This window comes from Homo sapiens, chromosome 4 (genome assembly GCF_000001405.40).
Source record: "Homo sapiens chromosome 4, GRCh38.p14 Primary Assembly".
NCBI classification, from domain to species: Eukaryota; Metazoa; Chordata; class Mammalia; order Primates; family Hominidae; genus Homo; species Homo sapiens.
In genome coordinates this window covers 84,526,278-84,552,259 of record NC_000004.12, presented here as the reverse complement: position 1 = coordinate 84,552,259, position 25,982 = coordinate 84,526,278, and the positions used below count along the sequence as shown (strand labels likewise).

Genomic DNA, 25,982 nt, shown 5'->3' with positions numbered 1-25,982 from the left:
GTTGAATATTGGCCCCCACTCTCTTTTGATTTGTAGGGTTTCTGCTGAGAGATCTGCTGTTAGTCTGATGGATTCCCTTTGTAGGTGACCTGGTCCTTCTCTTTGGCTGCCCTTAACATTTTTTCTTTCATTTTGACCTTGGCAAATCTGATAATTATATGTCTTGGGGTTGGTCTTTTTGTGGAGTATTTTATTGGGTGATATGATTTGGCTGTGTCCTCACCCAAATATCATCTTGTATTGCAGCTCTTATGATTCCCATGTGTCATGGGAGGGACGCGGTGGGAGGCAACTGAATCATGGGGGCAGGTCTTTCTCATGCTATTCTCATGATAATGAATAAGTTTCATGATATCTGAGATCTGATGGTTGTGTAAAGGGGAGTTCCCCTACACTTGCTCTCTTGCCTGCTGCCATGTAAGATGTGACTTTGCTCCTCATTCATCTTCTGCTTTGATTGTGAGTCCTCCCCAGCCACGTGGAACTGTGAGTCAATTAAACCTCTTTCATTATAAATTACCCAGTCTCAGGTATGTCTTTATTAGCAGTATGAGAACAGACTAATACACTGGGGTTCTCTGCAGTTCCTGAATTTGAATGTTGGCCTGTCTTGCTAGGTTGGGATGTGCTCCTGGATGATATCTTGACGTATGTTTTCTAACTTGGTTCCATTCTTCCCATCTCTTTCAGGTACCCCACTCACTTGTAGGTTTAGTCTTTCTACATAATTCCATATTTCTGAGAGGTTTTGTTCATTCTTTTTTATTCTTTTTTCTCTATTCTTGTCTGTCTGTCTTATTTCAGAAAGACAGTCTTCAGGCTCTGAGATTCTTTCCTCTGCTTGGTCTGTTCTGCTATTGATACTTATGATTGCATTGTGAAGTTCTTGTACAGTGTTTTTCAGCTCCATCAGATCAGTTGTTTTTCTCTCTAAATTGGCTATTCTGGCTTTCAGCTCCTGTATTGTTTTATCATGATTCTTAGCTTATTTGCATTGGGTTACAAAATACTTCTTTAGCTCACTGAAGTTTGTTATTACCCACCTTCTGAAGCTTACTTCTGTCAATTCAGCCATTTCAGCTTCAGCCCAGTTCTGTGCCCTTGCTGGAGAGGGGTTGCGGTCATTTGGAGGAGAAGAGGCACTCTGGCTTTCTGAGTTTCATCACTTTAGCATTAATTTTTGTCTCATCTTTGTGGGCTTATCTACCTTTGATCTTTGAGGTTGCTGACCTTTGAATGGGGTTTTTGTGGAGTCTCTTTTGTTGATGTTGTTGTTGTTGTTTTCTGTTTATTTGTTTTTCTTTTAACAGTCAGGCTACTCTATCATAAGGCTGCTGTGGTTTGCTGGAGGTCCACTCCAGACCCTATTACCTCAGTTTTTCCCATACCTGGAGGTACCACCAATGAAGGCTGTGAAACAGCAAAGATGGCAGTCTGCTCTTTCCTCTGGAAGCATCATCCCAGGGGTGTACTGACCTGTTGCTGCCCAAACGTACCTGTAGGAGGTGGCCGGAGACCCCTCTTGGGAGGTCTCACCCAGTCAGGAGGAACAGGATCAGTGACCAGCTTAAAGCAGTCTGGTTGCTTTTTGGTATAGCAGGTGTGCTGTTCTAGGGGGTGCCCTTCCTTCTCTGGACGATTTGTATTCTCCAGAGCTGGCAGGCTGGAATGGCTGAGTCAACCAAACTGCAGAGATGGTGCCTGCCCATCCTCCCTGGGAACTCAGACCCATCTCAGGCAGATTCCAGTCTGTTGCCATCAGCTGGCTGGAATTCTAAGCCAGTGGGACTTAACTTGTGGGGTGTCATGGTTGTGGGATGTGCAGAACGAGGCTGCTTGGCTCCCTGGATTCAGACCCCTTCCTAGAGATATGTATGAATGGATTTCTCACCTCACTGGGAATCCTGGGGCTGCAGTATATAAAACTCTGTGTGTGCCTGAGTGGCTGATCTACTAAGACTCCACACAGCTCTGTGTATTGGACCCAAGGCCCGGTGGTGTGGGCTCATGAGGTGATCTCCTGATCCACAGATTGCAAAGATCCATGGGAGAAGCATGGTTTCCCAGACCGTGTTGCACAATCACTCACTGCTTCCCTTGGTGGGGACGGGAGTTCCTTTGGCTTTATGCTACTCCTGGGTGGGCTGTTGTCCTCCCCAACCCCAAAAGCTTTTTTTCATTGTTTGTGGTTTGAGTTGTTTGCCTAGTTAGTCCCAGTGTAAGAACCTGGATATTTCAGTTGAAGGTGCTGAATTTACTCACCCCTTTTCATTCCTTTCCATGAGTGCTGACCGCAGCGCCTTCTAATTGGCCATTTTGGATCCCCCACTCAAGAGATTTATTTCAAGGAATTAGCTTAGCTGACACAATTGTGGAGGAGACAGGCAGGTCTGAAATCTGCAGGGTAGGCAGGCTGGTTGTAGACTCAGGGAAGAGGTGATGCCGCAGTATGAGTACAAAAGCAGTCTGCTGGCAGAATTCCTTCTCTGGGGGAGTTCAGTCTTGTTCTTTCTTGTTTTTTAGTTTTGTTTTGTTTTTCTTGTTTTGAGACAGGGTCTCACTCTGTCACACAGGCTGGAGTGCAGTGGTGTGATCTCAGCTCACTGCAACCTCTGCCTCCTGGGTTCAAGCAATTCTCATGCCTCAGCCTCCTGGGTAGCTGGGATTACAGGTGTGTACCACCATGCCTGGCTAATTTTTTTTGTATTTTTAGTAGAGACGAGGTTTCACCAGGTTGGCCAGGCTGGTCTCGAACTCCTGATCTCAAGTGATCTGCCCGCCTTGGCCTCCCAAAGTTCTGGGATCACAGGCATGAGCCAGAGTGCACGGCCAAGTTCAGTCTTCGTCTATTAAAGCCTTCAACTGATTGGATGAGGCCCACCCACATTATGGAGGGTAGTCTGCTTTGCTCAGTCTACTGTTGTAAATGTTAATCTCATCTAAAAGAAATCTTTATAGAAACATTTAGAATAATGTTTGACCATGTATCTGGGTACTGTGGCTCAGCCAAGTGGACAGGTAAAATTAACCATCACTCTACTCTTTCTTTTTCTTTCGCCAAAAGCCTCCTAGCATCTTCTACCAGTTTGCATATTATAAAGAGAATTAGGTTGATTCTTGGAAACTTGAAACTCATCTTAGTGATGTGTATTAGTTCTTATGCTCTCATTATTAGACTCTCACATTAGCATGGCCTAATTTCTACTACCAGGAATAAGATGTGTGCTGTGCTAATGGGAAATGATATATTTAGTGTTTTGTATGATCATTCTTTAGGGTCTGTGTCCCTTTAATTGGATGAGAGCCCACGCGGAGTGGGTAGATAATAGTGTCCTTTCTGCTTACCCCTGCATTAGGAATAAAAGAGAAAGAAAATATGTGTGTGCTCAGGAAAAAAATCCATTATTTTTGATATTCAAGATATTATAATCAATATAATAACTTTCAAGTACCTTCCAGTTAGTAAGCTTTTCAGAGTATAAATTAATTCCATATCAGCTGAAACCAGTGGCTTTTCCCATGTTGGGTTCAATTGTAGTTATGGATGACATAAGCTTTTCCATCAAGTGTAATAACTAAGTTCTAATTTTGTTGGCCAGTGTAACTTTAACACAATAACAAAACATAATTAAAAATAAGGGCTATTTTTTTCAGACCTTATATAAATATATTGTGCTTAGCAGATAGATAACATTTTTGAATTAGAGGAGTTTTAATTAATTCAATGCTTAAGTACCACAAGCAATTTAATTTTCACAATATGTTAAGTATCCATATTCAGTTTACAAAATACCACAATTGTGTGAAATTGATCTTTTGATTCATTTGATTCATCATGACATTTCTCTTTGTTACATGAAAAAATATAACATTTTGAAGTCAATCTATGTTTCCTTCCAAGATTAAGAAAATGGCAAATGATGTAGACCCTTTAAACATATGGACCAAGTCTCCCATTTCTCCAAACAAGAGACTTATGATATTTTGGTTTGTCTGAGGAAGAAAGCTGGCTGTTGCTACCAGGGTGAACTAGGGAATAGCCTGGTCTACTCCAGTTGAGGAACAGCTATAAGGTCTCTTTGGTGCTCTGTTGGTTCTTTTAGCAATAAGAAGGGCAAGTGATCATGAAAGGACTATACTTCATTCTATTTTCTGTAGCTCTTTGAGTGGTTTATGAACATAGCCCATAATAGCATAAGCTGTTATGGAACAGCTTACACTTGTGACAAAGAGAATTCAAAGCCATATAGTTTACAAAAAAATAAATACAAATAGACCTAAACATATAAAGAGAATATGCAAATTAAGGGCATGCAAATTAAAATTATACTAACATACAATATTTCACCCTGATAGGCAGAAAGCCAAAGGTGCAATAGTTCATTCTGTGGGGGAGACTTTGGAGAAACAGTCACTATTGCTTGTTGCTGTTAGGATTGCAAAATGGTATAACATGTGTGGCAGGGACACTGACAATATCTAGAAAACAGTGAAATGCATTTATCTTTGGTGCAAGTTATTTTATTGTCTCTTCTCATACCTCTTATCCATTTTTTTGCCCTTCCCCACACTGCTCTGGACCATGAGATACTACTAACCCTTTTGGAAGGCCTCACTCATGTTTCCTTGCAACTGCCTTAAACCACTACAATAAATGAGTAGTTTAACAGACTGTTCAATTGGTGGTGCCATGGATTAAGTCCACTAGCCATTGTGGGATTCTAGCCTCTTGTCTTTCATTAAACCTCTAAAGTTCTCACATGCTGAGGCGAAAAAGTTTCCTAGAGTTCTGAAATACAGGTCTTAAATTCCTGGTCTCTGTCACAGACCAATTGCATCAGAATCTCACGTGGGAGGGATAGCAATCTGTTGTTTTCAGACTCACTGGGTTGGGTAACTACTGATCAAGATACAGCACAGTTTCTCACATTGCTCCATTTGTTCTAGATCACTGAGATGTTAATGTGTAGTCCTCTAAAATAATGACAGCTGGAATAAGGAATAACAGCAACACAAAACTAATGCTCTAACAATAGCGAAACTTTGTGGTGTTTACTATGAGGCAGGTACTGCTGCAAATACTTCACTCATGCTAACCCATTGAAGCTTCACAACTACCCAATAAAGTAGGTGCTTTCACTATTGCAACTTTTCAGATGCAGAAACTAAGGCACAGGACGATTAAGTGACTTGTCCAAGATGCCACAGTTACTAGAGGCAGAATTTAAACAAAGGAGGCCATATGGCTCTGGAGTTTGTGTACTAAAACTCCTGTGGTCTAACATTTTTGGGAAATTCTGCTCTTTTTTTCGGATTTATAATGTAATAATATATTGGTGCAAGCTTTGAGAGGTATCTATAAATAATCCCTCTTGTAAGTAATTTTATTTCTCCTTCGCTTATGAAGCTTAGTTTGGCTGGATGTGAAATTATGGGTTGAAAATTATTTCTTTAAGAATGTTGAATATTGGCCCCCACTCTCTTCTGGCTTGTAGGGTTTCTGCAGAGAGATCCGCTGTTAGTCTGATGGGCTTCCCTTTGTGGGTAACCCGACCTTTCTCTCTGGCTGCCCTTAACATTTTTTCCTTTATTTCAACCTTGGTGAATCTGACAATTATGTGGCTTGGGGTTGCTCTTCTCGAGGAGTATCTTTGTGGTGTTCTCTGTATTTCCTGAATTTGAATGTTGTTCTGTCTTGCTAGGTTGGGGAAGGTCTCCTGGATAATATCCTGCAGAGTGTTTTCCAACTTGGTTCCATTCTCCCTGTCACTTTCAGGTACACCAATCAATTGTACATTTGGTCTTTTCGCATAGTCCCATATTTCTTGGAGTCTTTGTTCCTTTTCATTCTTTTTTCTCTAATCTTGTCTTCACACTTTATTTCATTAAGTTGATCTTCCATATTTGATATCCTTTCTTCCACTTGATGGATTTGGCTATTGATACTTGTGTATGCTTCACGAAGTTCTCATGCTGCGTGTTTCAGCTCCATCAGGTCATTTATGTTCTTCTCTAAACTGGTTATTCTAGTTAGCAATTCCTCTACCTTTTTTCAAGGTTCTTAGCTTCCTTGCATTGGGTTAGAACATGCTCCTTTAGCTTGGAGAAGTTTGTTATTACCCACCTTCTGAAGCCTACTTCCGTAAATTCATCAAACTCATTCTCCATCCAGTTTTGTACCCTCGCTGGTGAGGAGTTGTGATCCTTTGAAGGAGAAGAGGCGTTCTGGTTTTTGGAATTTTCAGCCTTTTGGTGCTGGTTTTTCCTCATGTTCATGGATTTAACTTCCTTTGGTCTTTGATGTTGGTCACCTTCGGATGAGGTTTCTGTGTGGACTTCTTTTTTGTTGATGTTGATACTATTCCTTTCTGTTTGTTAGTTTTTCTTCTAACAGGCCCCTCTGCTGCATGTCTGCTGGAGTTTGCTGGAGGTCTAGTCCAGACCCTGTATGCCTGGGTATCAACAGTGGAGGCTGCAGAACAGCAAATATTGCTGCCTGTTCCTTCCTCTGGAAGCTTCGTCCCAGAGGGGCACCTGCCAGATGCCAGCGCGAGCTCTCCTGTATGAGATACCTGTTGACTCCTGCTAGGAGGTGTCTCCCAGTCAGGAGGCATGGAAGTCAGGGATCCACTTGAGGAGGCAGTCTGTCCCTTAGCAGAGCTCGAGCGCTGTGCTGGAAGATCCCCTGCTCTCTTCAGAGCTGGCCAGGCCGCAACGTTTAAGTCTACTGAGGCTGTGCCCACAGCCACCCCTTCCCCCAGATGCTCTGTCCCAGGGAGATGGCAGTTTTATCTAGGAGCCTCTGACTGTGTCTGCTGCCTTTCTTTCAGAGATGCCCTGCCCAGTGAGGAGGAATCTGGAAAGGCAGTCTGGCCACAGTGGCTTTCCTGAGCTGTGGTAGGCTCCTCCCATTTTGAACCTCTTGGAGGCTTTGTTTACACTGTGAGGGGAAAGCTGCCTACTCAAGCCTCAGTGATGGCAGCCGCCCCTCCCTTCACCAAACTCTAGCGTCCCAGGTCTACTTCAGACTGCTGTGCTGGCAGGGAGAATTTCAAGCCAGTGGATCTTAGCTTGCTGGGCTCTATGGGGGTGGGATCTGCTGAATTAGACCACTTGGCTCCCTGGCTTCAGCACCGTTTCCAGGGGAGTGAACGGTTCTCTCTCGCTGGTGCTCCAGGTGCCTTTGGGGTATGAAAAAAACCTCCTGCAGCTAGCTTGGTGTCTGCCCAAATGGCCACCCAGTTTTGTGCTTGAAACCCAGGGCCCTGGTGGCATAGGCACCTGAGGGAATCTCCTGGTCTGTGGGTTGTGAAGACCGTGGGAAAAGCCTAGTGTCTGGGCCGGAATGCACCATTCCTCATGGAACAGTCCCTCACAGCTTCCCTTGGCTAGGGGAGGGAGTTCCCTCACTCCTTGTGCTTCCTGGGTGAGGCGACACCCCACCCTGCTTCAGCTCGCCCTCCGTAGGCTGCACCCACTCTCTAACCAGTCCCAAAGAGATGAGCCAGGTACCTCGGTTGGAAATGCAGAAATCACCTGCCTTCTGCATTGATCTTGCTGGGAGCTGCAAACCAGAGTTGTTTCTGTTCGTCCATCTAGCAGTGCTTACTCAATTAGTCTTAAGTCTCCTGCAATTATAACCCAAATTTCAATGGAATAAATAGGCCAGAGACAGAATCTATATAATATAAAAGGTCTTGGTATATGATAAACTATATGCCATGAATAAAGAGGTCACAGCTGAAAGGCTGAGTGGTGGGAACCAAGAAGCAAGTGCTCACCCTCTAGAAGTCTTTGCTGGTGCAGACCAAATGGCGGGTTCTGGAGAAGATTGACCTTAAGTTCATAGACACCACCTCCAAGTTTGGCCATGGCTGCTTCCAGACCATAGAAGAGAAGAAAGCGTTCATGGAACCACTCAAGAAAGATCGAACTGCAAAAGAAGAATGAGCTTAATGCCAGGAACACATTGTGCAGCTCGTGGGGTCTCAATATAAGTTATTTTCCACTGAAAAAAAAAAATAAATAAAATGTTGTGTTGATCTAAAATGTGAAAAAGAAAAAAGGCAAATGCAAATTACCAAAGTACCAATAATGCTCACCTAATTGCAGTTCTTCCTTTCTCTTTGCAAATGATTAGGGACTTGCCTGCAAGGGCAAAGGAAAAGAGATGCAAACTCCCAGGGATGGTAGGAGACAAAGTGAAATACTTAAAATACTGAGAATTGTTTAAGCTGTGTGGTTTTTCTTAAAAACTTCACATGCATTTGCCATTCTATTACATGTATGTATGTATGTATGTATGTATGTATGTATGTATGTATGTATTTATGACAGAGTCTCTCTCTTTCTCCCAGGCTGGAGTGCAGTGGCACGATCTTGGCTCACTGCAACCTCCACCTCCCGAGTTCTAGCGATTCTCATACCTCAGCCTCCCGAGTAGCTGGGATTGTCTGCCACCATGCCTGGCTAATTTTTTTATTTTTAGTAGAGACGGTGTTTCACTGTGTTGGCCAGGCTGGTCTCGAACTCCTGACCTCACGTGATCCACCTGCCTCGGCCTCCCACAGTGCTGGGATTACAGGTTTGAGCCACCGCACCTGGCCTATTTATTTATCTCTTTAAGGCAGAGTCTTGCTCTGTTGCCCAGGCTGGAGTGCAGTGGTGCAATTTCGGCTCACTGCAACCTCTGCTTCCCAGGTTCAAGTGATTCTCATGCTTCAGCCTCCCCAGTAGCTGGGACTACAGGCATGTGCCACCTCTTTTGTATTTTTTAGTGGAGACAAGGTTTTGTCATGATGGCCAGGCTGGTCTCAAATTTCTGACCTCAGGTGATCTGCCTGCCTCAGCCTCCCAAAGTGCTAGGATTACAGATGTGAGTCACTATGCCCAGCCTCTATTATTACATATCTATTTTTGAATATCAAAATGCATTAATGTCCTTGAAGATGTGCCACTTTATCCATGACTTCTTGACTTCTTGGCACACTCCCACACACTCCAAAGGAGCCCTTGAGAAGAATAATGCCCTGTTGCTTCACATGGCTAACACAGAATCAGCTTTTTCCTTGCTGGGCATACTCTTCAGGTCTGCTACCAACTTCCCATGTGGCAAGCTCTCTCTCTCTCACACACACACATACACATACACACACATACATGCACATGTATATATGCACACACATATATATACTATATATACGTTAATACATAAAATCATGCACCACAGAACAACATTTTGGGCCAGGCGCGGTGGCTCACGTGCCTTTGATCCCAGCACTTTGGGAAGCCGAGGCAGGCGGATCACGAGGTCAGGAGATCGGGACCATCCTGGCTAACATGGTGAAACCCCGTCTGTACTAAAAATACAAAAAAAAAAGTTGCCGGGCGTGGTGGCAGGTGCCTGTAGTCCCAGCTACTCCGGAGGCTGAGGCAGAAGAATGGCGTGAACCCAGGAGGTGGAGCTTGCAGTGAGCTGAGATTACGCTACTGTACTCCAGCCTGGGCAACAGAGCGAGACTCCATCTGAAAAAAAAAAACACCATTTTGGTCAAAGACCAACTGCATGAATGATGGTAGTCCCATAAGATTATACCGGAGCTGGAAAATTCCTGTCATCTAGTGATATAGTAGCCTTCCTAATGTCATAGTGCAATGCATTACTCATGTTTGTAATGATGCTGATGCAAATAAACCGACTGAGCTCCCAGTCATATGAAAGACTAGCATATACAATTATGTACAGTATGTAATACTTGATAAGGATAATAAATGAGTGTTACTGGCTTATGTATTTACTATACTTCTTATTGTTATTTCAGAGTGTGCTTTTTATACTTATAAAAAAATGTTAACTGTAAAACATATTCAGGCAGGTCTTTCAGGAAGTATTCCAAACAAAGGCATTGTTATCCTAGAAGATGACAGCTCCATGCATGTTATTATCCCTGAAATCCTTCCAGTGGGACAAGATATGGAAATGGAAGACAGTGATATTGATGATCCTGATGCTGTGTAGGCCTAGGTAATGTCTGTGTTTGTGTGTCAGTTTTTAACAAAAATGTTGGAAAAAGTTAAAAAAATCTTTGAATAACAAAAAGCTTATAGAGTAGTGATATGAAGAAAGAAAATATTTTTGTACAGCTGTACAATGTGTTTGTGTTATAAGCTAAGTGCTATTACAGAAGAGTCAAAAAGTTAAAAAAATAAAAAGTTTGTATCTCTGTTTTGGTACTAGTACAATGCTGTTTTGGTTACTGTAGCCTTGTAGTATAGTTTGAAGTCAGGTAGCATGATACCTCCAGCTTTGTTCTTTTGGCTTAGGACTGACTTGGCAATGCAGGCTCTTTTTTCATTCCGTATGAACTTTAAAGTAGTTTTTTTCCAATTCTGTGAAGAAAGTCATTGGTAGCTTGATGGGGATGGCATTGAATCTATTAATTACCTTGGGCAGTATGGCCATTTTCACGATATTGATTCTTCCTATTCATGAGCATGGAATATTCTTCCATTTGTTTGTATCCTCTTTTATTTTGTTGAGCAGTGGTTTATAATTCTCCTTGAAGAGGTCCTTCACATCCCTTGTAAGTTGGATTCCTAGGTATTTTATTCTCTTTGAAGCAATTGTGAATGGGAGTTCACTCATGATTTGGCTCTCTGTTTGTCTGTTGTTGGTGTATAAGAATGCTTGTGATTTTTGCACATTGATTTTGTATCCTGAGACTTTGCTGAAGTTGCCTATCAGCTTAAGGAGATTTTGGGCTGAGACGATGGGGTTTTCTAAATATACAATCATGTCATCTGCAAAGAGGGACAATTTGACTTCCTCTTTTCCTAACTGAATACCCTTTATTTCTTTCTCCTGCCTGATTGCCCTGGCCAGAACTTCCAACACTATGTTGAATAGGAGTGGTGAGAGAGGGCATCCCTGTCTTGTGCCAGTTTTCAAAGGGAATGCTTCCAGTTTTGCCCATTCAGTATGATATTGGCTGTGGGTTTGTCGTAAATAGCTCTTATTATTTTGACATACGTCCCATCGATACCTAATTTATTGAGAGTTTTTAGCATGAAGGGCTGTTGAATTTTGTCGAAGGCCTTTTCTGCATCCATTGAGATAATCATGTAGTTTTTGTCTTTGGTTCTGTTTATATGCTGGATTACATTTATTGATTTGCATATGTTGAACCAGCCTTGCATCCCAGGGATGAAGCCCACTTCATCGTGGTGGATAAGCTTTTTGATGTGCTGCTGGATTTGGTTTACCAGTATCTTATTGAGGATTTTTGCGTTGATGGTCATCAGGGATATTGGTCTAAAATTCTTTTTTGTTGTGTCTGTGCCAGGCTTTGGTATCAGGATGATGATGGCCTCATAAAATGAGTTAGGGAGGATTCCTTCTTTTTCTATTGATTGGAATAGTTTAGACCAATGGAACAGAACAGAGCCCTCAGAAATAATACCACACATCTACAACCATCTGATCTTTGACAAACCTGACAAAAATGAGAAATAGGGAAAAGATTCCCTATTTAATAAATGGTGCTGGGAAAACTGGCTAGCCATATGTAGAAAGCTGAAACTAGATCCCTTCTTTACACCTTATACAAAAGTTAATTCAAGATGGATTAAAGACTTAAATGTCAGACCTAAAACCATAAAAACCCTAGAAGAAAACCTAGGAATTACCATTCAGGACATAGGCATGGGCAAGGACTTCATGTCTAAAACACCAAAAGCAACGGCAACAAAAGCCAAAATTGACAAATGGGATCTAATTAAACTAAAGAGCTTCTGCACAGTAAGCTCTACCATCAGGGTGAACAGGCAACCTACAGAATGGGAGAAAATTTTTGCAATCTACTCATCTGACAAAGGGCTAATATCCAGAATCTACAAAGAACTTAAACAAATTTACAAGAAAAAATCAACCCCATCAAAAAGTGGGCAAAGGATATGAACAGACACTTCTCAAAAGAAGACATTTATGCAGCCGAAAGACACATGAAAAAATGCTCATCATCACTGGCCATCAGAAAAATGCAAATCAAAACCACAATGAGATACCATCTCACACCAGTTAGAATGGCGATCATTAAAAAGTCAGGAAACAACAGGTGCTGGAGAGGATGTGGAGAAATAGGAACACTTTTACACTGTTGGTGGGACTGTAAACTAGTTCAACCATTGTGGAAGACAGTGTGGCAATTCCTCAGGGATCTAGAACTAGAAATACCATTTGACCCACCCATTCCATTACTGGGTATATACCCAAAGGATTATAAATTATGCTGCTGTAAAGACACATGCACACGTATGTTTATTGCAGCACTATTCACAATAGCAAAGACTTGGAACCAACCCAAATGTCCATCAATGATAGACTGGATTAAGAAAATGTGGCACATATACACCATGGAATACTATGCAGCCATAAAAAAGGATGAGTTCATGTCCTTTGTAGGGACATGGATGAACCTGGATACCATCATTTTGAGCAAACTTTCGCAAGGACAGAAAACCAAAGGCCGCACATTCTCACTCATAGGTGGGAATTGAACAATGAGAACACTTGGACACGGGATGGGGAACACCACACACTGGGGCCTGTTGTGGGCTGGGGGGAGGGGGGAGGGATAGCATTAGGAGATATACCTAATGTAAATGACGAGTTAATGGGTGCAGCACACCAACTTGACACGTGTATTCGTAAATAACAAACCTGCACGTTGTGCACATGTACGCTAGAACTTGAAGTATTAAAAAAAAGTTTATAAAGTAAAAAAGTTACATAAGCTAAGGTCAATTTTTTATTGAAGCAGAAAGATTTTTAAAATAAATTTTTGTAGCCTAAGCATACAGTGCTTATAAAATCTATAGTAGTGTACAATAATGTCCTAGGTCTTCACACTCACCACTTACCCACTGGCTCACCCAGAGCAACTTGAAGTCCCACAAGTTCCATTCATGATAAGTGTCCTGTATAGATGTACTATTTTTTATCTTTTATACTATACTTTTATGGTACCTTTTCTATGTTTAAATGCGTAAATACTTACCATTGTATTGCAGTTCCTTTAAGTATTTAGTACAGTCACATGCTATACAGGTTTGTAGCCAGAAGTGATAGTCTATGCCATGGAGCCTGGGTGTGTGGTAGGCAGGCTTACCATCTAGGTTTATGTAAGTGCAGTGTGTGATGTTTGCATAAGGACAAAATCAACTAATGATGCATTTCTCACAATGTATCCCTGTTGGTAAGTAACACCTGATGGTATATATAAAACACAGTTACATGTGTATTTATTTTATTTTTTGCTTCTTATGTCTCAGGTGCAGACGGTGGAGTTAATCATTCTCCTCAGTTCCTACTTGGTGAATGTTTCATGCATCCGTGTGAAGAGAGTCCACCAAACAGGCTTTGTGTGAGCAACATGGCTGTTTATTTCACCTGGGTGCAGGCAGGCTGTGTCCGAAAAAGGAGTCAGCAAAGGGTGGTGGATTATCATTAGTTCTTATAGGTTTGGGGATAGGCGGTGGAGTTAGGATCAATGTTTTGCAGGCAGGGGGTGGATCTCACAAAGTACATTCTCAAGGGTGGGGAGAATTACAAAGAACCTTCTTAAGGGTGGGGGGGATTACAAAGTACATTGATCAGTTAGGGTGGGGCAGAAATAAATCACAATGGTGGAATGTCATCAGTTAAGGCTATTTTCACTTCTTTTGTGGATCTTCAGTTGCTTCAGGCCATCTGGATATATACGTGTGGGTCACTGGGGATATGATGGCTTAGCTTGGGCTCAGAGGCCTGACAGTGAATTTGTCATTTATCCTTCAATTTTCATCTCAATACAGAGGCTTTACCTCCATGTAGCCTAACTGAACAACTGCAAGAACAGGGCCTTGTCCCATCGCTGCCCCATGGACATACCTAACATGATATATTACATTACTGCATCTCTTTAGGTCTTTACCTCTCAACTGAACCCTGAACTCCTGGAGAATAGATGCTGTCGGGAAATCACCAGCTTCTCACAAAGCAATGATCGTTGAATAAATCCTTGTTAAATAATGACAGTTTTCCTTTTTGGATTGCTGTGATCTCTACTCCCATCACGACTGCTAAGCCTTGGGCAGGAGACCTTGTATTCCCAGCCAGCTATTCTTCCCACCGCCATCCGTGAGTATTGGATGAAAGTAGCCAGGGCCGGGAAGAAACATGGGGATAGTAGTGTCTGAAAACTTCCCACTAAAGCATTTCCTGTCCTACTTCCTGCCAGTTCCTTTTGCCCAATTAGAACTGAAAAGGGATATGGTATGTATATATACCCCATATCAGTATATCATCATCATATATATAGATATATATAGATATAGATATATCTCAATTCCCCCAGATGCTAGGTAGTATGGATATAATCCTGCCAAAATAGGCTTCCTCCAACCTTTGCTTCAAATCAAGGCACCAGTCTTTGGAGCGCACTAGTAGGTACTAGGAACAAGAGATGAAAAAGTTGGTCACAGTTGGTCCTGTACATGTCCTTATATTTCCTTCCAGTCTGAAATGTGAGTGTGAAAATACACTATTTTTTAGACAAAATGTTTGTAATAGTTTCTTCTAGCCTGTGCCTAACTCAAGTTTTTTATTTCTCTTCTCCACATCTCTGTCCATGAGAATTTGTAATAATAGCTAAACAGTTTTTTTTAATATTATAGTTTTTTTTTTTTTAAGTACAGAACCAAAACATAGGGGAAAAAGACCATTTTCTCCAAGGAGATGAAGAAAGAATAATAGTTGAAATAGAAATATCAGTAAAATTTAGACCTTTGAAAGATGAGGAAGAGATGGTTTCAGAAACAATAGGATGGTTATCTATTAAATGTTTCTGAGAAATCAAGTAATATATATTACTGAAAAGTATACATTGGATTTATCAACAGAGAGGTTATAGGTGACTGTGGCAAAAGCTATTTTGGTGGATTGGTTGAGGCAGAAGCCAGATTTCGGTGGTTCGATAGGAGAGTGTAAAAGTGAAAGAAGAATTAGGGAGTAAATGCAGTCTTAGGATAGTCAGTAGCCCAGCAGTGACCTTGAATTGATAGTGGCAACAATCTGAATGGCTGTGTATCTCTTACAGGAGGACTCAATGGTAGGAGGGTCCTGTAGATTAGATAAAAAGCCACAAACATCTCAGTAACCTCAAGGTAAACAATTATGATCACATAAGTTGTTTAGAGAATTTGACCCTTAAAATACCTAGGATCTTCAAAAATAGATTATGTTCCTTGCATTTTGTTTGAAATATCAGAAATATGTTTAATATATTCATAAAGTTGGTCTGAAAATTTATTTCAGTGTTGAAGGGTCTACATATCTTTTTTGTTTGTGTTTTAGAAAATTCACTTCTGTGAATTATCCTATTTCTCAGTAATGACATATGAGATGATAGTATATAGTAGTCATAAAAATCATGCAAACAGCAACATGACATACTATTATTATAGTAATAAAAATATTAGAAAGCACAATATGACACTCCTTAGGGAGTTTTCATTTCAGATGCTTTCTTAACTATTTATTTTATTAAACTTTTTTTCAAGAAGAGGTCTCACCCTGTCACCCTATCTGGAGTGCAGTGGTGCAATCTTGGCTCACTGCAACCTCCACCTCCCAGGCTCAAGAGAGTCTCCCACCTAAGCTTCCTGAGTAGCTAGAACCACAGGCACACGCCACCATGCCTGAATAATTTTTTTGTATTTTTGGTAGAGATGGGATTTCACCATTTTGCCCAGGCTGGTCTCGAACTCCTGAGCTCAAGCAATCTGCCCACCTCGGACTCCCAGAGTGCTGGGATTACAGGCATGAGCCATCACACAGAGCCTAAACTTCTAATCTTGAAAAACTTCCAGACCTCAGAAAAATTACAAGAATATAACAATTAACATGTAAATACCTTTCACCGAGATTTTTCCACATTTGCCACATCTCTTTCTCTCTTTATATCATATATAGTTCTAGTATATTAATACACATAATGTTTTTCACCCTTTTGTTTGTTTGTTTTTAGAAACTGGGTCTCACTGTGTTGCCCAGGCTGGAGTGCATTTGAACACTCATAGCTCACTGCACCCTTGACCTTCTGGGCTTAAGCAATCCTCCCACCTCAGATTCCTGAGTAACTAGGACTACAGGTGTTTGTAATCACACCTGGCTAATATTTTTCTAATTTTTAAAATTTTAATCTTCTTTGTAGGTAGTTGGTCTCACTATGTTGTGCAGGCTGGCCTCAAACTCCTGGGCTCAAGGGATCTTCTCATCTCATCCTTCCAAAGGGCTGCGATTACAAGTGTGAGCCACTGCGCTGAGCTTGTTTTTTATTCTTCTTGTCACTTTTTTTCCCTCAACCAACTGAAAGAAGGTTACAGATATTATAACATTTTATCCCTAACTACTTCAGTGTCTGTCTCCTGAGAACAAGGACAATTTCTTATATAACCATGTTGCAATTATCAAATTCAGAAAATCGAATATGGATACAATACTATCTAATACAGTCCAAATTGAAATTTTGGCAATTGTTCTAGAAATGTCTTTTGCAAAAGCAATGTGTTTCTTTGTAATCCAAAATCCAAGCTACAATTACATACTCAATTTACTTTTTGTGCTTCTTTAGTTTTCTTTACAAGGGTTTCTCAGCTTTTCTTTGCTTTTCATGACTGTGACTTTTTGAAGCATGCAGCCTGTTGTTTTGTAGAAGACATTTTATTTTTTAACTTTTATTTTAGGTTTTGGGGTACATGTGAAGCTTTAGGTAAACTCATGTCGTGTGGGTTTGTTGTACAGATTATTTTATCACCCGGGTATTAAGCCTAGTACCCAACAGTTATTTTGTCTTCTCCTCTCTCTCCTCCCACCCTCCACCTTCCACTCTCAGGTAGATCCCAGTGTTTGTTGTTCCCTTCTTTATGTTCATGAGTGCTCATCATTTAGCTCCCACTAATAAGTGAGAACATGCGGTATTTGGTTTTCTGTTCCTGCATTAGTTTGCTAAGGATAATGGACTCTAGCTCCATTCATCTTCCTGCAAAAGACATGATCTTATCTTTTTTTAATGGCTGCATAGTATTCCACAGTGTATATGGACCACATTTTCTTTATCCAGTCTGCCATTGATGGGCATTTAGGTTGATTTCATGTCTTTGTTATTGTGAATAGTGCTGCAATGAACATACATGTGCATGTATCTTTATGGTAGAATGATTTATAGTCCTCTGGATATATGCCCAGTAATGGGATTGCTGGGTTGAATGGTAGTTCTGCTTTTAGCTCTTTGAGGAATCACCATACTGCTTTTCACAATGATTGAACTAATTTACACTCCCACCAACAGTGAATAAGTGTTTCCTTTTATCCACAAGCAACCTCACCAGCACCTGTTACTTTTTGACTTTTTTTTTTTTTTTTTTTGAGACGGAGTCTTACTCTGTCGCCCAGCCAGGAGTGCAGTGGCACGATCTCGGCTCACTGCAACCCCCGCCTCCCAGGTTCAAGCGATTCTCCTGCCTCAGTCTCCCAAGTAGCTGGGATTACAGGCACCACCACCACCTTTGGCTATTTTTTTTTTTTTTTTAGTAGAGACAGGGTTTCACCATCTTGGCCAGTCTAGTCTTGAACTCCTAACCTGGTGATCCACCTGCCTTGGCCTCCCAAAGTGATGGGATTACAGGCATGAGCCACTGCGCCTGGCCTTGACTTTTAATTAATAGCCATTCTGACTAATGATATGGTATCTCAGTGTGGTTTTGATTTGCATTTCTCTAATGATCAGTGATACTGGTCTGTTTTTCATATGTTTGTGGGCTGAATGTATGTCTTCTTTCGAAAAGTGTCTGTTCACGTCCCTTGCCCCCTTTTAAATGGGATTTCTTGTTTCTCTTTTTGTAAATTTGTTTAAGTTCCCTGTAGATGTTGGGTATCAGACCTTTGTCAGATGCATATTTTGCAAAAATTTTCTTCCATTCTATAGGTTGTCTGTTTACTCTGTTGACAGTTTCTTTTGCTGTGCAGAAGCTCTTTAGTTTAATTAGATCTCATTTGCCAATTTTTGCTTTTGTTGTCGTTGCTTTTGGCATCTTTGTCGTGAAATCTTTGCCCGTTCCTGTGTCCAGAGTGGTATTCCCTTCCAGGATCTTCCAGGGTTTTTATAGTTTTAGGTTTTACATTTAAGTCTTTAATCCATCTTGAGTTGATTTTTACATATGGCATAAAGAAGGGGCCCAACTTCAATACTCTGCGTAAGGCTAGCCAGTTATCCCAGCACCATTTATTTAAAAGGGAGTCTTTTCCTCATTGCTTGTTTTTGTCAGCTTTTTTGAAAATCAGATGGTCATAGGTGGACCTTATTTCTGGACACTATTTTGTTTCATGGGACTATGTGTCTATTTCTGTACCAGTACCATGCTGTTTTGGTTACTGTAGCCCTGTGATATAGTTTGAAATCAGGTAACATGATGCCTCCAGCTTTGCTCTCTTTGCTTAGGATTGCGCTGGCTACTCAGGTTCTTTTTTGAATCCATATGAACTTTAAAATAGTTTTTTCTAGTTCTGTGAAAAATGTCATTTGTAGTTGAATAGGAATAGCATTGAATCTATAAATTACTTTGAGCAGTTTGGCCATTTTAATAATATTGATTCTTCCTATCCATGAGCATGGGATTTTTTCCATTTGTTTGTGTCTTCTCTGATTTCTTTGAGCAGTGTTTTGAGATTCTCGTTGTAGCAATCTTTCACTTGCCTGGTTAGCTGTATTCCTAGGTATTTTATTCTTTTTGTGGCAATTGTGAATGGGATTGCCTTTCTGATTTGGCTCTCAGCTTGGCTGTTGTTGGTATATAGGAATGCTAGTGATTTTTGTATTTTGATTTTGTATCCTGAAACTTTGCTGAAGTTGTTTATCAGCTTAAGGAGCTATTTGGCCAAGACTATGGGGTTTTCTAGATATAGAATCATGTCATCTGCAAACAGGGATAGTTTGACTTCCTCTCTTTCTATTTGGGTGCCTTTTATTTCATTCTCTTGCCTGATGCTCCAGCTAGGACTTCCAATGCTATGTTGAATAGAGGTGGTGAGAGAGGACATCTTTGTTTTGTGCTGGTTTTCAAGAGGAATGCTTCCAGCTCTTGCCCATTCAGTATGATGTTGAAAAGACATTTTATAGGTTTTTAAATTGGGAAGAGCATCAGTACAGGGTCAAAAAGCTGGGATTCTAATTGGTGAACCACCACAAATTAGCTGGCGGTCATTTGCCTTCTCCAAATCAGTTTTCTTATCTTTAAAATAGAAATGTTGTCTGTCCTGACTGTCTCAGAGTTCTTTGGAAGATAAAATGATAAAACAGGTAAGAAATTACTTTAAAACTGCAAAGCAATTTAGAAAATGAAAGGCTTTACTTTAAGTTGTGAGTCGATGCTATAGATTTTAAAATGTTATCAGTTGTAAGTGTTGTTCATTCCGATAGAATACCATTCTGTTTTCCCTTCTTTCTCTTCCTCCTTCCTCTTCTTTCTGTCTTTCTCTACACACACAAACCCTTACCTCTAGTATTCCTAGAACGCAACGTAACAACATATTGCCAAAAGCTAAGTAGCAGGAGGAAAAATTAACATGTGGAATGTTTCAATATTTTTAGCCATATCATTAGAGTCATATTACCTAGTGCTTAATTGGTGACTCTGTTCTCAGGAGTGGTGAATGTAAGATATAAAATTATAATGCTGCAAGGGACCTTTAAAAATTTCTGAGGCCCAGTGCAGTGGCTCTCGTCTGTAATCCCAGCACTTCAGGAGGCCAAAGCGGGAGGATCACTTGAGCCCAAGAGTTCGAGACCAGGCTGGGCAACACAGGGAGACCCTGTCTCTATAAAAAATAAATTAGCTGAGTTTTGTTGCATGCAGCTGTAGTCCCTGCTACTTGGGAGGCTGAGGTGGGAGTATCAGTTGAGTCCAGAAGGTCAAGGCTGCAGTGAGCTGTGATCATGCCACTGCACTCTAGTCTGGGTGGCAGAGTGAGACAGGGTCTCTCTGCATCCTACACCCAGACTCACTCTGCACCCAGACTAGAGTGCAGTGGCATGATCACAACAACAACAATAAAACAACAACAACAAAAAGAAAAATTCTAGATCAGAGTGTTCACCTCCAGAGGTAATGAGTTGCCCAAGCCACACAGCTAATCTGCAGAATCAGGATGAGACATGCAGACTCTGTCTCCTGGTCCAGTGCCCTTTACCTCACCCTCATTTCCTGAGTTTATCCTGCCCCAGGGAGCCAGTCAATTCATTAAAAGAATGTAGTCTGTGGGGATAAATCTGGTGAGGATCAGTTTGGTCATCTAACCCTAGAGGCATTTGAAAGAAAGGGTGAATGAACAGGTCATGCGGAGTGAGAGGGTTGAGAGCAGGTGGCTGCTTCCAGGCCCCTCTCCTGCCACTCACCTAGGAGGCTGTACCAGGAGGCGGGTGGAGCTGCTCTGCCATGGGAGGAATTTCTACTTTATTTACATAGAAAACTTTATTTGGAAACAATTTTAAACTTGCATAAAAATTGAAAAAATAAAAATAGTACAGAAAACATTCAAATGTTCTTTACCCAAATTCATCTATTAGCAGTATGCCCCATGAATTTTATCATTTGCATGCTCGCTCTCTCTCTCTCTTAAATTGTGGTAAAATACGGTTACCATCTGAACTACTTTTAAGGGTACTGTTCAGTAGTATGAAGTACATTCACATTGTTGTGCCACCATTGTCTATCCACAGAACTCTTTGCATCTTGCAAAATTGAAACTCCATAGCCTTAAACCATACACACACACAAACACACACACACACATCTTTTTCGAACCATTGATAGTTAATTACCTGATGATTTCCCCCTAGATACTTCAGTGTATATTTTCTATTTTATTTTATTTTATATTTTTTCAGACAAGGTCTTGCTCTGTTGCCCAGCCTGGAGTGCAGTGGTATGACCATAGCTCACTGCAGCCTCAAACTCCTGGGCTTATGTGATCCTCCAGCCTCAGCTTTGCCTAAGCTGATCTTAAACTCCTGGCCTCAAGTGATCCTCCCACCTTGGCCTCATGAAGTGCTGGGATTACAGGGGTGAGTCACCACTCCTGGCCTTCAGTGTATATTTTATAGGAATAGAGATATTATCTTACTTAACCCCAGCACAGTGATCAAGTTCAGTGAATTTACAATGATGTAGTAGTTTTGTATAATCTACTGTTCATATTTCAGTTTTGTCAGTTGACCTAACAGCTCTTTCTAGCATTTTTACCCCTCCAGTGTGTAATTAAGCCTGGAAACAAATAATGCATTTAGTTGTCACGTTTGTTTAGCTCCTTTAATCTGGATTATTTCCATAGCTTTTCTTTGTCTTATGATTTTGACAGTTTTCAAGATTATACTTCCCCCTTTAACTAAGCAGAATATTCATCACTTGGGTTTTTCTGCTGTTTTCTTGTGGTTGCAGTCAGATTACACATTCTTGATAAGAACAGTACATGTGTGACATGCTCATCTCAAGGCTTCACATCTGCAGGCACGTGATGCCCATCTGTTTCTTGTTAGTGATGTTACATGAGGCCACCAGATCAAAGGGTTGTCTTATTTCTCCACTGTATAATTACTATTTTATTTTTCCCCCTTCCAACTAAGAAGTGATAGGTGGGAAGATATCTTAAGATCATGCAAATATCTGATTCCTCATCAGAATTTCTCTCTAGATTTGGAATCTATTAATGTTTCTTGCCTTATCCAATCTCACTATGATTGCAAAATGATTATTTTTAAATCCCTGCATTCCCTCCACATTTACCAGTCTGCCCTCAGGAAGAGCCCTCCCTGTCAGCAAGAGCCCTCCCTTCTTCTTATGTCTCTCTCTCTCTCACCTATCTATCTAATGTTAGTATGAACTTATGAGTTCTTAATTTTTCAATGATTTATAATTAATCATGCTAGTGCTCAAATTGTCATAGGTTTGGCCAGGAGAAGTCTCTTCAATCTGGGCACCTGTGTCTTTGTGACTCGCTCCTTTTTTTTTTTTTTTTTTTTTTTTTGAGTACTTTCTCACTTTCTGACTTAAGCTGTTTTAGGCACATCTTGTATCCCTCTTGCCTCAACTCTGGAATTGGTTACCACTACTTCTGAACTGGGTGGCAGCTACAGACAGAGGTGAGTATGCAGAAAAGAGGAATTGCAACACCAGGGCAGGAAGACTTTGGGCCTTTCTGTGATATAAGCAGAGTGGATAAATAATGCAATAATCTGGCAAACAGATTTGCTATTATAAAAAAAACAGATTTGGGACCTAAGTAATTTTGTGGCTTCATCAACAGAATAGAATAGTGGCTTGGAGTGTGAACTCTGGAGTCAGACAACCTGGATTCAAATTTCAGCTCTGTCACTTGCTAGCTGTATGTCCTTAGGCCAGACTTAGTTTCTTTATCTGTAACATGAAATTAGTAATGGTATTAATATCCTAAAGTAATACAAGGATCACATTAAACAACCCATATAAGTGCTTAGCAAAATATATGGCACATATTAACTGCTAATGAATCACAGTTATTATTATCAATTGTATTTGCCGAATTCTATGTTCTTTTTCATTTTTCCCATTTTACGTTAAATGAAAAACAACACCATTCTTTTCTAGTTGAAAACCATTCTGCTGATAGGGTTAATTTTTGTGAGTATATCTGGGGCTGAAATGACCATTTGGTGACATAACTTTTGTTTACAGCCATGATAGAAAATTTCTAGGTAACAAAACCAAGTATTGGAATTAATAACCCTAAAAGGTGTTCAGGAAACAATAGTGAGAATGCTCACTAGGGGGAGCTATTATAACAAATTATGTGGTGCTCCTTTTCAATATACTGCCTTTTTGCAAACTTCATAGTTTATTCATAATCTACCTTTGCTGTGAAGTGAAAATTGGTAAGTATTATGGTGTACTTTCATGCATACTATAAATATGAAAGCTGACTGTTTGAAAAGATAAAGATTAATATAATCTGGTGAGAACAAATGCTTACTAAATTTTGAAAACTGCACTAAAGTCTCATTTTGTCTTGGCCAAAAGGATTGTATAAAAATTGTAAGAGCCAACTTAATCAGTAGGGGTATATAGTGAATAAAGTCTATTAAACACATTAAATAGTGAAAGAAGAACCAGCCATTTAAAATAGTTGACAACATTTTCTGAAGCGACTGTAGAAAGTGAAATAAAGAGAAATGAAATGTAAAAGCACAGTTGACCTTTGAATAACACAGGTTTAAATTGTGTGGGTTCACTTATACAAAGATTTTTTTCAACCAAGTGCAGACTCAAGATACAGTAATTGCTGGATGTGAAACCTGCACACATGGAGGGCTGACTTTTTCCGCAAATTCCGCTGGGCCCATTTTGCGACTTGAGTGTGCTAGGATTTTGGTATATGCAGGGGTCCTAGAAACAATCCCCCATGTATATGGAGGGATGACTGCCGTTCTCCCAAATCTTGCTCCACCAGAAGGACAGGAGCTTTAACAGAAAAGCAGTAGCTTTGAATCAGATGTAATCTAGCAATTTGGGTATGACATAACAGCAGGGGAAAGCATCTAGTCTGGTCGTAGGATAGTCTGGGTTCGGGAACCTCCCTTCTTGCTGCATGATGCCAGGCAAGTCGTTCAGCCTCTCTTGGCTCACCTCTGTTAGGAGGGGTTTGGAGTGCAAAGCCTCTTTTTAGTTCTGACACTCTGTGATGCTGATGGTAAAAAGCAGTAAATTGGTTTAAGGTAGCTATTTGCTTAACTTTTAGGTGTTCCTTGTTTGCTTCAGCCAAAGTTTTCCTAGCACCCAGAATCAGAGTTATAATTTATGTATGCAAAAATTTCTAACAAGCATGTAATTGATTTTTTTTTTTTTGGTTTGGTTCTTTTTTTTTTTTAGGTGGTAAGGGAGTAATTGCTTAGGATTGGACTGAGCTGAAGAATGTTTAGCCTGGCGGTACTAGTGCAACTGGAAGAACAGATGAACCATAGTTTGCAACACAAAGCCAAGTCAACCAACAGAAGAAATATATATTTTAAGAAGATTTTATATTTTCAACTGAAAACGTTCATGTCAGTTGTGAATGTATTTGTAATTGGCAGCCCCAAATCATCTCCCTTTTTATTTTTGAGAAAGTGTAGTGTGCTTTAGTATTTGGAACATTCATTTAAACCTATTAAATTATATTTTAAAATGCACTGTTCCCATTTCAATCAAAATTGGTTTTATACTATATATTGTAACACTAAAGTGCTTCTGGTAATTTGCTTGTAAAACCAAAACTCTTTTAAATTTATCCACTTGTCCCTTTCAGAAATGACGTGTTTGTGCATAGGACTTGTTAGTATTCTGATTCAAACAAAACTACAGTACATGTAAAAACATATTTATAGAACATAAATAAGAAAATGTGAACCCTGAAGAATATTTGATGGAACTAATGGACTATTCTAATTTTTATGTGTGAAAATGATAATGTGATTTTTTAAAAGAGTCCTTCTTTTTTAGACATGCACACTGAAATAATTATAGATGAAATTATGCAATGTCTGTGATTTGTTTCAAAATAGTCTGGTGCTTAGGGAGAGAGAAGTGGGTGGGGAGAGAGATGAAATAAGCTTAGTTATGAGTTGGTAATTGTTGAAGCTGGGTCCTATATATATATGGGGGTAAGGTCATATTCTATTCTACTTTTGCATAGATTTGAAATTTTTCATAATAAAAAGTTAAAAACAAATCACACACCAAAAAAACTCCCAAACCCAACTGTCATTATTTAATAACTTTGAACTTGGTATGGACCTAAGAAGGCATCTTTTACAAGGGAAATGTGCAGTTCCAAGTCTTTTTCTTGATGATTGGGTCTGAATGTGTTAATCAATGCTGCCCTGTCATAGCCCCGACATAGGGAAAATGCTGAAATGTGATTTTTAAATCATAAAAATGTGCCCATAGTAATAGCTCCATCTTTTGCACAATATTTAAATCAATTCATTGATTTCCAGTTGCCTGATATTCTTATTTCAGTAACAAAATAAACGATACATAGTTCAGTAAAGTTGAATCCATTTGGGTTCATTTGTGCTCGAAGTCTGAAGCCAAGTAAGATCTGCTTCTTAGCTGCATGTCAGGGGATAAGGCATCAGTCTCTTTGTAAGGCTTGGTTTCCTTTTTTTTCTTTTATCGTACAGTTTCTAACCACGTTCATGAATAGATAAATTAAGGACAAAATACATCTATATCCCTCCTTGGCTCTTTGTTTATTTGCATATACAGAATTACTAATATAGTCCATGTCTGTAAATGTCTTAAAAATGTCTCCATTAAAAAAATCCAGAAAAATGATACTTTTTGACTTCACATTCCCCTTTTCCCTCTTTATTTTTCTGTTTTTTTTTTTTTTTTTTTTAACGGCAAAACTCCTCAAAAGGGTTGTCTATACTGGCTGTCTCCAGTTCCTTTCCTCATATTGTTTCTTGAATTCTTTCCCATATTCTTTCTTTGACTTCATGAGGGCTTTTGCCACCACCACCACCACCCTGTTCTTGTCAAGGTTGTTAATGATGTTCTTTTTGCAAAATCTGAGTGTCAATTCATCCATCTGACATGACCGACCCGCAGCATTTGACATGGCTGATCACCCCATGCTTTCTGATACACTTTTTCACTTTACTCTCAGATAATGGTATTCTCCTGGTTTTTCTTCTCCTTCACTGGAAACTCTTTCTAGTGTTTTTTGCTGATTCTTCCTTATATTCTTGATTTAAGGCTCAGGTTCCAGTCTTTGAAATCCTTCTTTTCCCTATCTATGCTTAGTATCTTGCTAATACCATTTAATCTCAACCCAGCTCTAAATATTATACAAAAGCAGATGTTCTCAAATTTAT

At 40.1% G+C, this 25,982-nt stretch overlaps 1 long non-coding RNA gene and 1 pseudogene across 6 annotated transcripts in view; both read left to right on the top strand.

Annotated features, from left to right (window-relative positions):
- LOC102723338 (uncharacterized) overlaps positions 1-25,440 on the top strand; it is a 55,402-nt gene extending 29,962 nt beyond the window's left edge. Inside the window, exons 4-9 of one of the 6 annotated variants that reach the window (XR_007058458.1) lie at positions 13,330-13,421; positions 13,963-14,176; positions 16,251-16,345; positions 19,338-19,394; positions 22,145-22,232; positions 23,995-25,440. This is a non-coding gene — a long non-coding RNA (uncharacterized LOC102723338). Of the gene's footprint in view, positions 1-9,871; positions 10,025-13,329; positions 13,422-13,962; positions 14,177-15,134; positions 15,202-16,250; positions 16,346-19,337; positions 19,395-22,144; positions 22,233-23,994 lie in introns of all 6 variants that reach the window. The other 5 variants (XR_007058457.1, XR_007058460.1, XR_007058456.1 and 2 more) reach the window with 5 other exon arrangements.
- Positions 7,741-7,956, top strand: RPL3P13 (ribosomal protein L3 pseudogene 13; annotated as a pseudogene).
- Positions 25,441-25,982: the final 542 nt, after the last annotated feature.